This window comes from Homo sapiens, chromosome 4 (assembly GCF_000001405.40).
Source record: "Homo sapiens chromosome 4, GRCh38.p14 Primary Assembly".
Lineage (NCBI taxonomy): Eukaryota > Metazoa > Chordata > Mammalia > Primates > Hominidae > Homo > Homo sapiens.
This window is the reverse complement of record NC_000004.12, coordinates 124,037,545-124,052,637: the sequence shown is the minus strand read 5'-3', so window position 1 is coordinate 124,052,637 and position 15,093 is coordinate 124,037,545. Positions and strand designations below refer to the sequence as shown.

Sequence of the window (15,093 nt, the reverse complement as noted above, 5' to 3'; positions counted from 1 at the left end):
CCTTGACTTCTCTCTCTGCTCCCCACCCTCCTCTTCCCCCTCTTCCCCTCCCCTCAAGGTGCCCCACATCTTCCCCTTAGCCAATTCATTGCCAGTCCCACCTCCTTTCCTCTGCCTTTCTTCCCCCTCAGCCCCTTGATCAGCCTTCCTCCTTTGGCTCACCCATCTGTTGCCTTCCTTGTGCTTCTCTCCCTTTCTCCTCCTCCTTTCTTCACCCTCTTTTCTTCTACACCATTCTGTAATCCTCTGCCACCCTCCTCCTTTCCCAGCCTTTCCCCAAACGCTTCCACTTAAACACCTACTCTCTTTTTATTTAGCAAATTCCCCTAGGTTATTAATTCTCTAAACATTCTGAGTACTTGGCTTCCTATCTGACTAAAGCCTGTGACTTCTTTGGGGTTACCTTACCTTCTCTCTAGTTCTCTCATGTGGACACTAATGGTCATCTATGTGCCGATTATTCCAATCTCTATGCCCAGCTCAGTTCAGTACTTCAAACCTCCAGACTTGTATATCCAACTACCTATGCAGCATCTCTATTTGGATGATTAACAGATATCTTAAAATTACCACGCCTCAAACTTACCATGTTAAAGACATAAGTTTTGATCCTCCCTACCCCCTTGTCCCCCTCTTAAACATAACCTCTATCTTCCTTGTGTCAGTAAGTGATACTAGTATTTATCCATTTGCTCATGGTGGATCACTGAATCCCCTCTTTCCGTCATCTCCGACCCAATTTACTTGCCAGCCTGTGAGACTACCTCCAAAATATATCCTAAACCCTTCAAGCTCTTACTTTCTTTCCTCTACAATCCTGGTCCAAACCACTGTTATCTCTCACTAGACTTCTGCACAAGCCTTCTAATTCATTTCATTCTCACCAACCGACCACCATGACCTACATCCTTTTCAAACCATTTTCTAGACAGGAGCCAGAAAGGTCACTTAAAACTATAAATTTTATCATATTACTCCACTCCATATAACCCTCCAAACATTTCACATTTAGAATGAATCTAAGTTCTATATGTTGCATAAAAAGTCCTATGTGAACTGAGCCTGCCTTTCCACCTTTCACTCTGATATCCATACCACTCACTTTCTTACTCATAATTCTCAACCACCTTGACCTTCTTTCATGTACTTACATATCTAATTATTTCAAGCAATTACAATTTTATTTCCTTTAAGACACATAACATTTTCTGAAATCATCATATTTATATAATTATTTAGTTTATGTTCTCACTTTTTTACTGAGAGCAGGGACTTTTCCCATACCTACTATAGCCACAGCAACTATGGGGGTGTTGACAAGGAGTAGACACTCAGCAAAATATTTAAGGAATAAATAATCATTATTTCTTTACTTTGATTTATGTTGCAACCTAAACTCATGTGCTAGGTCAGGAAAAATAGCATTTTAATTTTTTTGTTACAATTTTCTAAACTCAACAGAAATAGCATTAATATCTTTGGTAGCCAAAGAAAATATGGTAACATTGAAAATCTTAAATATAAGTCAAAACATAAATATTTCGCTCAATCATAGGCAGATCATATTCTAAATGCTATCTACCTGATGCCAACATATTTGATGGGCAGTAAAAATAGCCATAACTTATTCTTTTCCTCAGTGATATCAAATAATGATCAAATTGATATTTTTATTCATATAGGTTTGGTCTAACAGATGTGAACATAAACATAGAGACATTTAATCAACTTCAATTGATTTAGTCAGTAGAAAACAATCTAACTTGCTTTAGTTTTTCTCTTTATCAATGCACAAATATATAATCCATGTTTTCATTATTGTTCTTACTCTTTATATTTTACTTGCTTGTTTGCTTTTTAAGTTTTATTGATCACTCAATTGTATTGGATCAAGTAAAACTTCCAAAATTCATCAGTTTGACATATTTTATTGTATATTTTTCAAATATGTACATACACTTAATATATTTCTCTGATCATATTCCCAAATATGATTTTCAGGAACTCTACTAAATTTATTTCAATGTGAAAGAAATTCACTTCACATCAACTGAATCACTATACTAACTGCATAAAACATTCTTTAATACATTTATTTAATGAACATTTCTCTCTATTTGAGACTTCTTTTTTCTCTCTAATTATTTTATTTCAGACTTCCACAAACTCTTACTTAGGTTAAAAAAATTCCCAACTGGTCATTCTCCACTGCCTTTTCTTCAATCAATTTCTATCCCACTTTCAGAGTAATCTCTCTAATCACATTTCTATGATTGGTAACCTTCAATCACTCTGTGTTGTACTCCAGATTAAATCACATCTTTTAATACGTCTTATAAGGACCTCCACGAATAATATCTGTCCTGTCTCTCAAAATTTATCTTTTTGCCTTTCTTCAGTTTAACTCAAAATGAAACAGTCTTATGTCCTCTAAATTCACAGTTGCCTATGGTCTCTGCACAGTTTTTCTGCCTGGAAGTACTTCTTTAAAATAAAATATCTAGTTGTGGTTGGATATACACATCTCCAAAGTCTCCAGGAGATGAACCTGAGCTGGAGTCTTCTGGGTAAGTGGACAGATGACACTGCAATGTAATGGATACAGATGACATTACTCATACAAAGTATTTAAAGTAAGAAGAGGTTGAGGATAAAAATCTAAGAAACACTGTTGCCAGTGGCTGTAAGAAGAGAAGAATGAGGAATTTTCCTTCAATGGGTATAAAGTTTTTGCCATACAAGACGAATAAGTTCTACAGATCCATTGTACAACATAGTATCTATAGTTAATAATACAATATTGTGCACTTTAAACATTTTTAAGAGGATAGAATTCATGTTAAATGTTCTTACCAAAACAAACAAAACTACATGCAAAATGACACAAGAAAATTTATTTTTGAAGGTGATGGGTATGTTTAGTACCTTGGCTGTGGTGATGGCATCATAGGTGTATGCATATGTTCAAACTGATTAAAATATCTACTTTAATGTTTGCAATTTTTATCTATCAATTATGCCCCAATAAATCTTTTTAAAAAAGAATAGTGGGGAACATATGCTCATGAAGGGAATGAAACAATGAGCTATCAGAAAGGTGAAAGAAAAAAAAATCCACAATAGTATGGTGTCATAGAAGCTGATGGAAAAGAATGTTCCAAAGATGAAGAAGTTATCAAACCAATTAAGAAGAACCTAATAATTTCAACTGGTTTAATGATAAAGGTATTGTTACACTTACAAAGGAATAATAAAGTTGGAAAATTGGAGTATGAGGCTGGGAATTGGGAGCTGTGAGTCCAGATTACAAGATTGGAATGCAAGAGATAAAGACAATGAAAAGTTAAAATATAAGTTTATACCATAAATTTTGAAGCCATCTTGATAAGTCAAATTTGGGATGAAGAGGAAAGCCATGCTAAACCTTTCACTTAATGGGAAAGACTGACAGGGAGTCAGTAAATTATAGATCTAAGAAGAATGAGAGAATAATGTAGCTGATATGTGAGCCTACACAGAACAGAGGGATTTACATATTCATAAAAGCCAATAACTTGACCTTGTAAATCATGAAGAAGGAGGATATCAATCCTGTTTTCTGACCTAGGGAAGAGGGACCAATAAACATTCATGAGCTCATCTCTACTGTCTTAGTCCATTTTTGGTTGCTATAAAAATACCTGAGACTGGGTCATTTATTTAAAAAGGAAAATAAAAGTTTTATGTTAGGTCATGGTTTTGCAGGCTGAGAAGTTCAAGGGCATGCCCCTTGCTTCCAGTGAGGGCCTTTGTACCACATCACAACATGGCAGAGAAGGTCAAAAGGGAAGCAGATATGTGTGAAGAGGGGAAAACCTGAGAGGTGTTCTGGCTTTATAACAACTCACTCTCATGGGAACTAGTCCATTCCTATGATAAATAATCCAGTCTCACTACAACAAGAACTCAACTCATTATCATGTAAACAGCACCAAGTTATTCATAGCAGATTTGATCCATAAGCAAAATACCTCCCACGAGACTCCACCTCCCAACACCACCACATCGGGAACAAAATTTCAACCTGAGTTTTGACAGGGACAAGCAGATCATATCCAAATTATAACACCTCTCCTTGAATTTTATTTAAGAATTCCTTTCTGGAATGTAAATTGATATAGCCATTATGGAAAACAGTATGGTGATTCCTCAAAAACTTGAAAATAGAACTACTATATAATCCAGTAATCTCATTTCTGGGTATATACCAAAGGAAATAAAATCACTACCTAACAAAGACATCTGAATTTCCATGTTCATTGTGGCATTATTCTCAAAACCAACATATGGAAACAAACTAAGTGTTATTGACAGATGAATGGATAAAGAAAATGTGATCTATATATACAATGAAATATTACTCAACCTTAACAAAGAAAGAAATATTGCAGTTTGTGACAACATAGATGAACCTGGAGGACATTATGCTAAGTAAAATAAACCAGAGACAGAAATGAAAATACTGCTTTATTTCACAAATATGGGGAATTTTTTTTAAAGTCAATTACATAAAAACAGAGAGTAGGACAGTAGTTATTGGGGCAGAAAGAGAATGAAAATGGGGAGAAGTGGTCAAAGGGTACAAACCTGCAATTACGTAGCATGAATAAGTCTAGAGAATGAATGTACAATATGAGGACTATAGTTAATAATATCATATTGTATACTGAAAATTTGCTGAGAGTAGATTTTAAGTTCTCATACTGAATAAACACACTAAAAGTAAATACAGGAAGTGATGGATAGGTTAATTTGCTTTATTGTACTATTAATTTTACTATATATATGCATATCCAAACATCATATTGTATACCTTGCATACATACAATAATTTTTTAAAAAAGAATTTCCCACTTTGGGAGGCTGAGGCGGGCAGATCACGAGGTCAGGAGACCAAGACCGTCCTGGCCAATATGGTGAAACCCTGTGTCTACTAAAATACAAAAAAATATTAGCTGGGCATGGTGGTAGGCACCTGTAATCCCAGCTACTTGGGAGGCTGAGGCAGGGGAGTCGCTTAGACCCAGGAGGTGGAGATTGCAGTGAGCTGAGATCATGCCACTGCACTCCAGCCTGATGACAGGGCGAGACTCCATCTCAAGAAAAAGAAAAAAAGTATTTCCTTCTGGCATAGAGTATGTTTCATTTTAGAGTTCAATTTGAAACAAAATGCACTCAAATTTTGACTAATATATTCATGGCAGTTATCAATTATCTTTCATATTCTCAAGGAGACACTTGAAAGTAATGCTTGCCTGCAGGTGAAGAGTTTACTGCTTGACAGTTTTTCTTCTGTCATGTATACAGAGCAAAAGTACAGAGATGGTGCGTTGTTCTGTGGCATTCAGAAGTGTTTTCTACCATACTCCTCCTTATAGGCTAAGTATTTCTGAAAAAAAGGTGTTTCCAAATCGTACAAGAAGACTGTATAGCAGGTCCATTGGAAGCCAGACTTAGAAGTTGGTCTGGATTTGAAGGTACAAAGTATATTAGATAAGCCGTTCAACTTTTCAGAATCTTAGCTTTTCTCAATAAAATGAAGCTAATAAATTTTATAGTTGTAAAAATGTGCAATGTTTTTAAATGAAGCAGTGTTTTTAAAATGCTTAGCACAATGTGTGACATGTAAATATAACTTTTGTCTTATAAACTTAATCATACCTACTTTTAATTTTTAATTATTCAAAACTAAGAAAATACTAATCAAGAAATGTCAGGGAGTTTCATCTATGACATGTGTTCATGAGGATATTGCCTAGAGAACAAACATGTTAAAACAAATTTTTTCAGTGGGTGAAAACTGCTCCCATGCTATTATTCCTGCACACTACCATATGCACTGCTTCTTTCTTTGCCAGAAAATAAAAGTTGCTCTTACATAGACACAGTCATTTACTTTTATTCAAATTTCTGTTGACATGTTCACTTTTAAGGACACTTTATTTTGTGATTGGTCAACACAGATCTGTTTTTTTATGTTGTTGGTGTTTGCTTGTTTTTGCCATGGGTTTCCAGAAGTCATTGTCATGCCACGCTGCACTTAAACATTAACAGTCTTTCTTTTGTTTATATGTGCCTATCTGCCTTTTCATCTATGTTTCTTGGACTCTAATGTTCCTTCAGTTTTCTCAATCTAGTGAATTCCTACATTATTCTCAAGACTCAGAATAAAAGATGTCCCAGAACAAATGTTGTCTCCCAGCTTGAGTTAAAATTTCCATCCTTTTAATGCCAGAATCATTTTTATATGACTAGGAGATGAGTATGTCAGACTCAAAGTAAAATCTTTTAAAACTCATATCCATGAGAGTCACGCAGTCAATCATGTATGTTTTAAGAAACATTGATGAAATAAACTTTCATATATTTCTGTTGCACAGCCCTGGGTAGGAATCACTCCTCTAATATAATATCTGTAAATATAAACTGTTTATTAAGTCTTTCTTTTCCACCATACAGTTAGGTCACAGAAGTGAAAGACCTGCTTCTGCTTTTATTTATTCCTCAAACCCAGCACAATGATCTATTTTATTTAGTAAATGAATAAATAGAAGCTAATTTCAACTCAATAAAGCAATCGTTTGGATATAAAGTTATCATTACATAATTAAGAAGAAAATCAGCAAGGCCAAGATAACTGACTAGAAACAGCAGTGGTTGGAGAGTCTCACCGATAATGAAAATGGTAAGTAAATCCTGCACTGGCAACTGAAGTATCCAATTTCTCTCAATAGGATTGACTAGGCGGTTGGTGCAATCCACAGAGAATGAGGAAAAGCAGGGTGGAGCAATGGCTCACTTGGGAGCCACACGGGGGAGAGGGGAGCTACTACCCCCAGCCAAGGGAGGCAGTGAGTGATTGTGCTACCCTGCCGGGGAAACCATGCTTTTTCCATGGATCTGTGCAACCCACAGATCAGGAGATCCCCCTCATGAGGTCATGCCACCAAGGCCTTGGGCCCCAAGCACAGAGCTGTGCAGATTCTCAGTGGCCGCTCAGCTGGAGTCTGCCTAAGATAACCAAGTTCCCAGAGGGAAAGGTGGCCATCATCATTGTGGCTTCCTGCTGCCTAAGACAACTGAGCTTCCTAGGGAAGTGGCAGCTGCCATCACTGTGACTGCCTACTGCCTAAGACTACTGAGCTCCTGAAGGGAGGGGTGGCAGCCATCACTGCAGCTCCAATCTGCTGTTTTTCCCTTGCCAGTGCTGAAGAGACTCGACAGTTTGGACACAGGTGGAATTTCCCACTGTGCAGCACAGTGGCTGTGGCAGATCATGGCCAGACTGCCTCTTTAGGCTGGACCCCAACCCATCTCTCCTCACTGGCTGGGGTCTCCCTGCCTGAATTTCAGAAACTCCAGCCAAGCGTTTAGGGATACAACTCTGATCTCCCCGGGACTGAGCCCCTGGGGGAAAGGGTGGCCACAGTCTCCATGAATCAGCAGACTTAGTCTTTCTCCGGGCTGGCTCTGAGGAATCTGAGCAGTCCAGAAGAGTGAGATTCCTGCCAACACAACACACCCCCTCTGCCAAGGGGCAGCTAGAGTGCTTCATTACACAGGTCTGGGATCCCGTGCCTCCTGCCTGGGTGAGAGCCCCCCAGCAGGGGTCACCAGACACTTTATACAGGAATGTTCCCACGGGCATCAGGTCAGTGCCCCTATGAAACAGAGATCACAGAGGAAGGAGTAGGCAGCCATCTTTGCTATTCTGTAGCCTCCACTGGTGACACCTCCAGGTGCAGGAGGGACCCAGGCAAGTAGGGTCTGGAGTGGACACACAGTAAATCACAGTAGCCCTGTGGAAGAGGCCCTGACTATTAAAAAGAAAAACAAAGAAACAGAAAGCAACAACAACACCAGCATTAACAAACAAGACCCCACAAAAACCCCATCCAAAGATCAGCAGCCTCAAAGATCAAAGCTAGATAAACTCACAAAGATGAGAAAGAATCAATGAAAAAACTCTGAAAACTCAAAAAGCCAGGGTGCCTTTTTTCCACTAAATGATTGCAAAACCTTTCCAGCAAGGGCACAGAATTGGGTGGAGGCTAAGATGGATGAAGTGACAGAAGTAGGCTTCAGAAGGAGCTGTTAACCAGAATAACCAGCTTAGAGAGGAATATAAATGACCTGATGGAGCTGAAAAACACAACAGGAGAACCTCACAATGCAACCAAAAGTATCAATAACCAAATAGACCAAGCAGAGGAAAGAATTTCAGAGCCTGAAGACTATCTTGCTGAAATAAAACAGGCAGACAAGATTAGAGGAAAAAAAGAATGAAAAGGAATGAACAAAACCTCCAAGAACTATGTGATTATGTAAAAAGACAAAACCTGTGACTGATTGGGGTACCTGAAAAAAACAGGGAGAAAGGAACCAAGTTGGAAAACATACTTCAAGATATCATCCAAGAGAACTTCCCCAACCTAACAAGACGGCCAACATTCAAATTCAGGAAATCAGAAAACCCCAGTAAGATACTTCTTGAGAAGATCAGCCTCAAGACAAATAATCATCAGATTCCCCAAGGTCAAAATGAATGAAAAAAAAAATGTTAACAGCAACCAGAGAGAAAGGCCAGGTCACCTACAAAGGAAAGCCTATCAGACTAACAGTGACCTTCTCAACAGAAACCCTACAAGCCAGAAGAGACTGGGGGACAATAGTCAACATTCTTGAAGAAAAGAATTTCCAACCCAGAAATTCATATCTGGCCAAACTAATAAATGAAAAGGAATGAAGGATAAATAAAATCCTTTTCAGACAAGCAAATGCTGAGGCACCAGGCCTGCCTTGCAAGAGCTCCTGAAGGACAAACTAAATATGGAAAGGAAAAACCATTAGCAACCACTGCAAAAACATACTGAAGTACAAAAACCAATGATGCTATAAACATCAATAAGTTTGCAAAATAACCAGCTAGCATTATCATGACAGGATCAAATTCACACATAACAATACTAACCTTAAATGCAAATGGAGTAAATGCCCTAATTAAAAAATACAGAATGGCAAGCCAGATAAAGAGTCAAGACGAATCATTGTGCCGTATTCAAGAGACGCATCTCACATGCAAAGACACACATAAGCTCAAAATAAAGGGATGGAGGAAAATCTACCAAGCAAATGGAAAGCAGAAAAAAAGCAGGGGTGACAAACCCAGTTTCTGACAAAACAGAGTTTAAACAAAGATCAAAAAGACAAAAGAAAAATGCATTCCATAATAGTACAGGGATCAATTCAACAAGAAGAGCTAAATATCCTAAATAGATATGCACCCAATAAAGGAGCACCCAAGTACATACAAGTTCTCAGAGACCTAAAAAGAGAATTAGATTCCCACACAATAATAGTGGGAGACTTTAACACCCCATTGTCAATATTAGGTCATCAAGACAGAAGATTAACAAGCATATTCAGGACTTGAACTCAGCTCTGGATCAAGTGGATCTGATAAATATTTACAGAACTCTTCACGCAAAAACAACAGAATATACATTCTTCTCAGTGCCACATGGCACTTACTCTAAAATAAATCACACAACTGGAAGTAAAAAACTCCTCAGCAAATGCAAAATAACCGAAATCATAACAAACAATTTCTCAGACCACAGAATAACCAAATTAGAACCCAAGATTAAGAAACTCACTCAAAAACTTCACAACTTCATGGAAATTGAACAACCTGCTCCTGAATGATTCTTGGGTAAATAAACAAATTAAGGTAGAAATCAAGAAGTTCTTTGAAACCAATGAGAACAAAGAGACAACAGACCAGAATCTCTGGGACACAGCTAAGGCAGTGTTAAGAGGAAAATTTATGGCAACAAATGCCCACATCAAAAAGGTAGAAAGATCTTAAATTGATACCCTAACATCACAAATACAAGAACTAGAGAACTAAGAGCAAAACAACCACAAAACTAACAGAAGACAAGAAATAACCAAGATAAGAGCAGAACTGAAAGAGATAGAGACATGAAAAACCCTTCAATAATTCGGGAGCTGGTTTTTGAAAATATTAATAAAATAGATAGACCACTAGCTAGACTAATAAAGGAGAAAAGAGAGAAGAATCAAATAGACACAATACAAAATGATAAAGGGTACATCACCACTGACCCCACAGAAACACAAATAACAATCAGAGAATACTATAAAAAATCTATGCAAATAAACTAGAAAATCTAGAAGAAATGGATAAATTCCTGGACATATACACCCTCCCAAGACTGAACCAGAAAGAAGTTGAATCCCTGAATAGATCAATAACAAGTTCTGAAATTGAGGCAGTAATAAATAGCCTACCAACCAAAAAAGCCCAGGACCAGACGGATATACAGCTGAATTCTACCAGAGGTACAAAGAGGAGTTGGTATCATTTCTTCTGCAACTATTCTGAACTATTGAAATGGAAGGACTTTTCCCTAACTCATTTTATGAGGCCAGCATAATCCTGATACCAAAACCTGGCAGGATTTGTATCCTGGCAGGATACCAAAAAAAAGAAAACTTCAGATCAATATTCCTGATGAAAATCTGTGCCAAAATCTTCAATAAGTTGCTGGCAAACCAAATCCAGCAGCACATCAAAAAGCTTATCTACCATGATCAAGTTGGCTTCATACCCAGGATGCAACACTGGTTCAACATACACAAATCAATAAACGTAATTCATCACATAAACAGAACTAAAGACAAAAACCACATGATTACCTCAATAGACACAGAGAAGGCCTTCGATAAAGTTCAACATCATTTCATGTTAAAAAAAACTCTCAATAAACTAGGTATTGAAGGAACATGCCTAAAAATCATAAGAACCATTTATGAAAAACCCACAGCCAATAGCATACTGAATGGGCAAAAGCTCAAAGCATTCCCCTTGAAAACCAGCACAAGGCAAGGATGCACTCTGTCACCATTCCTACCCAACACGGTATTGGAAGTTCTGGCCAGGGCAATCAGGCAAGAGAAAGAAAGAAAGTGTATCCGGATAGTAAGAGAGAAAGTCAAACTGTCTCTGTTTGCAGATGACATAATCCTATATCTAGAAAACTCCATCGTCTCAGCCCAAAAGCTTCTAACGCTGATAAGCAACTTCAGCAGTCTCTGGATACAAAATCTATGTGCAAAAGTCACAAGCATTCCTATACACCAATAATAGGCAAGCAGAGAGCCAAATCATGAACTCCCATTCACAATTGCTATAAAGAGAATAAAATGCCTAGGAATACAGGTAACAAGGGAAGTGAAGGACCTCTTCAAGGAGAAATACTGCTGAAGGAAATTATAGAGGACACAAACAAATGGAAACACATTCCACGCTCATGGATAGGAAGATTCAATATCGCGAAAATGGCCATACTGCCCAAAGTAAATTATAAATTTATAAATGCAATGCTATTCCCATTAAACTACCATGGACATGCTTCAAAAGTTAGAAAAAAACTAACTACTTTAAAATTCATATGGTACCATAAAACAGCCCACATAGCCAAGGCAATCCTAAACAAAAAGAAGGGGGCATCACACTACCTGACTTCAAGGCTCCAGTAACGAAAACAGCGTGGTACTGGTACAAAAACCGACACATAGACCTATGGAACAGAATAGAGATCTCAGAAATGAGACTGTGCATCTACAACCATCTGATCTTTGACAAACCTGACAAAAACAAACAGTTGGGAAAGGATTACCTATTTAATAACTGGCACTGGGAAAGCTGGCTAGCCATATGCAGACATTTGAAACTGGAGCTCTTCTGTAGTACAAAAATTAATTCAAGATGGATTAAAGACTTAAATGTAATATCCAAAACTATAAAAACCCTAGAAGAAAATCTAGGCAATACCATTCAGGACATAGGCACAGGAAAAGAGTTCATGATGAAAATGTCAAAAGCAAATGCAACAAAAGCAAAAATTGACAAATGGGATCTGATTAAACTGAAGAGCTTCTGCACAGCAAAAGAAACTATCATCAGAGTGAACAGACAACCTAAGAATGGGAGAATACTTTTGCAATCTATCCCATCTGACAAAGATCTAATATCCAGAATCTACAAGGAACTTAAACAAATTTTCAAGAAAAAAACAAACAACCCCATTAAAAAGTGGGCAAAGGACACGAACAGACTCTTCTTAAAAGAGACATTTATGTGGCCAGCAAACATAAGAAAAAAGGTTTAACATTACTGATCATTAGAGAAATGCAAATGAAAACCACAATGAGATACTATATCATGCCAGTCAGAATGGTGATTATTAAAAAGTCAAGAAACAACAGATGCTGGCAAGGCTCTGAAGAAATAGGAACCCTTTACGCTGTTGGTGGGAATGTAAATTAGTTCAACCATTGTGGAAGACAGTGTGGCAATTTCTCAAAGACCTAGAACCAGACGTGCTATTTGACCCAGCAATCTCATTACTGAATGTATACACAAAGGAATATAGATCATTCTTTTATAAAGATACATGCACATGTATGGTCATTGCAGCACTATTCACAATAGCCAAGACATGGAATCAATCCAAATGCCCACTAATGATAGACTGCATAAAGAAAATGTGGTACATACACACCATGGAATACTATGCAGCCATAAAAAGTAATGAGATCATGTCCTTTGCAGGGACACGGATGGAGCTGGAAGCCGTTATCCTCAGCAAACTAACACAGGAACAGAAAACGAAACACCACATCTTCTCACTTTTAAGTAGGAACTAAACAATAAGAACACGTGGACACATGGAGGGGAACAACACACACTGGGGCCTGTCTGGGGTCAGGCGGAGGGAGAGCATCAGGATAAACAGCTGATGGATGCATGTGGGGCTTAATACCTAGGTGATGGGTTGACAGGTGCAGCAAACCACCATGGCGCGTGTCTACCTGTGTAACAAGCCTGCATGTCCTGCACATGTATCCTGGAACTTAAAATAAAATTAAATAAAATTTAAAAAAAGAAGAAGAAAATCTGTAGTCTTTCCAATATTACATACTCAGTTCAAAATACATAAATGGAGACTTTTATCCCAATATGACAAATAAAATTTGAAATTTGCAAATTACTTTGCAAAAGTTAATTTGGCTTTAATTAACATAAAAGATCATTAACTGCCAAGTCCTGTATTCAAGGCTACTATTGACAGATATTATTGTTGGCCCTGTCTAATGACTATAGCATGGCAGAGAGTAAGACCACACAGGCTGACAATAAAAATAGATGTCATTGTCCAAGAAGTCATCACAAAATGAGGTCCTCTGAATAGATTTTTACTTTCTGAAACTTTTTAAATATCACAAGCCAATGAATTTGATGGCTTTCCCTTTTTCTCCTCTTTTTCTTGACTCCTGAGAGGAGTTGTATCAGCTCTTCTGTAGTATTGGCTGTATTCAGTGTGTAAAGAAGAAATAGCAACATAAATGAGTATATTTTGTGTTATCTCTTTATCTTAAAGACTGAAATTTGAGCAACTGGTAAGTTTCTTATTTATCAATTGGTATTCATTTATGAAAGTAACCAGCTCCGCATGGATCAGCATGGAATTCCAGAAACCAAAGGAGAATCAGAGATATCAAAGAATAAGGAGAAAAGAGAATCAAATTACCTAGGCAAAACCAACGTAAAATCAGTTCTGCTAAAGAGATCTGATAAAAGATTTTAGCAATACTCTAGTAATGGAATAATTGATAATAAATACCTGTACTATTTTGTAGCTTTGTCTAGTATGTATGAGAAGCATATTATGAAAAGTAGAGTTGTGACAGGGCTTTGATTTTTTTTTAAGAATCAAGAAAAATATTACATTTCTTCTTTTAAAAATAAAGACATAAATTTCCTTTTAGGACATTGTTTGTTTGTTTGTTTGTTTGATTGTTTGTTTTGCTTGAGGAATTAAATGACTTATCTATATTCAGGCTTGTGGTAGAATGATATGGGAATATCAAAGCTTCCTGGAGAAGTTATTCCATGGCCAGAAGAAAGGTCTCCGGTAGAGACATTACTTGGATTCATAAAACATGTAACCATTCCAGAAAATAATCTGAACACATACACACACACACACACACACACCCCAAATGACTTCCCAATATCTATAGAATGGTGCCTCAAATCACGATTTGAAAAAGTATGAAGGAGCGACCCATACAAGCTGCACAAATCTGGGTTAAATATTATTTATGCTTATTAATTATGTGGTAAGCCACAAACATTTTATTCCACAAGGTACATACACACATGGTCAACTAAGTCTTTGGTTGTTTTTATAAAGTCTTGATTTAATAGTTCTTCTTTCATAAGATTAAGTGAACTGAACTGAAATTGCTATCATTTTTTCCTAGTGACTAGAGTAGGTAGTCCAGTTAGGCAGAAACACCAAATAAAATCTAAAAATGCTCGTGGCAACTAAGGTGTGACACATGGAGGGCTATCATTCTAGGTTAATATGAACAACCTCAGGAGATGGAAAAAGTGTAAGGCATTTTCTAATCACATAACACGACAGAACCACATCACCCAGAGATGGCATATTCCAGCTAATCCACAACATCCTTGGATGTATCACTGAAGACAATGAAGCAAAATGAGGAGTTGAATAACCAACCAGTAAAGCCTTAATTTTAGGTAACTTTTTTTTAACCCAATGATGAAAATGAAACAAACAATATCAAAATAATTTCCTTTGCTTTGTTTTCCTACTCTTTGATTATACACACTTGTAATGAATTCTTCCTGTATTACTATTAAGTTTTATCATCATAACAAATTATGAGTTCTTCAAAGTCAACAATCGTGTATTTTACTTCTCATGCATCACAGCAACACCATTCCTCTATCAGTCACAGTTTAATTATTTGGCAATAATTTCTGATTTTTAGAAGTATATGTATTTTTGTAAGTCACAAAAATCAACAGAAAGAGAAATAAATCAAGAAGGCCACTTTCTGTTTCTGCTGGAAAGAAATAAATTGCCTTGTGAATTGGGTCTCAAAATAAATGTGCTTTTAAAGTAACTTGTATCCTTTCCTAAAGGCATAAAT

At 37.0% G+C, this 15,093-nt stretch overlaps 1 long non-coding RNA gene across 1 annotated transcript in view; it reads left to right on the top strand.

The window, feature by feature from the left end:
* Positions 1–15,093, top strand: part of LOC105377407 (uncharacterized) — a 218,744-nt gene that overhangs the window by 199,543 nt on the left and 4,108 nt on the right. Inside the window, exon 4 of the long non-coding RNA XR_939176.3 lies at positions 2,443–2,567. This is a non-coding gene — a long non-coding RNA (uncharacterized LOC105377407). The remainder of the gene's footprint in view (positions 1–2,442; positions 2,568–15,093) is intronic.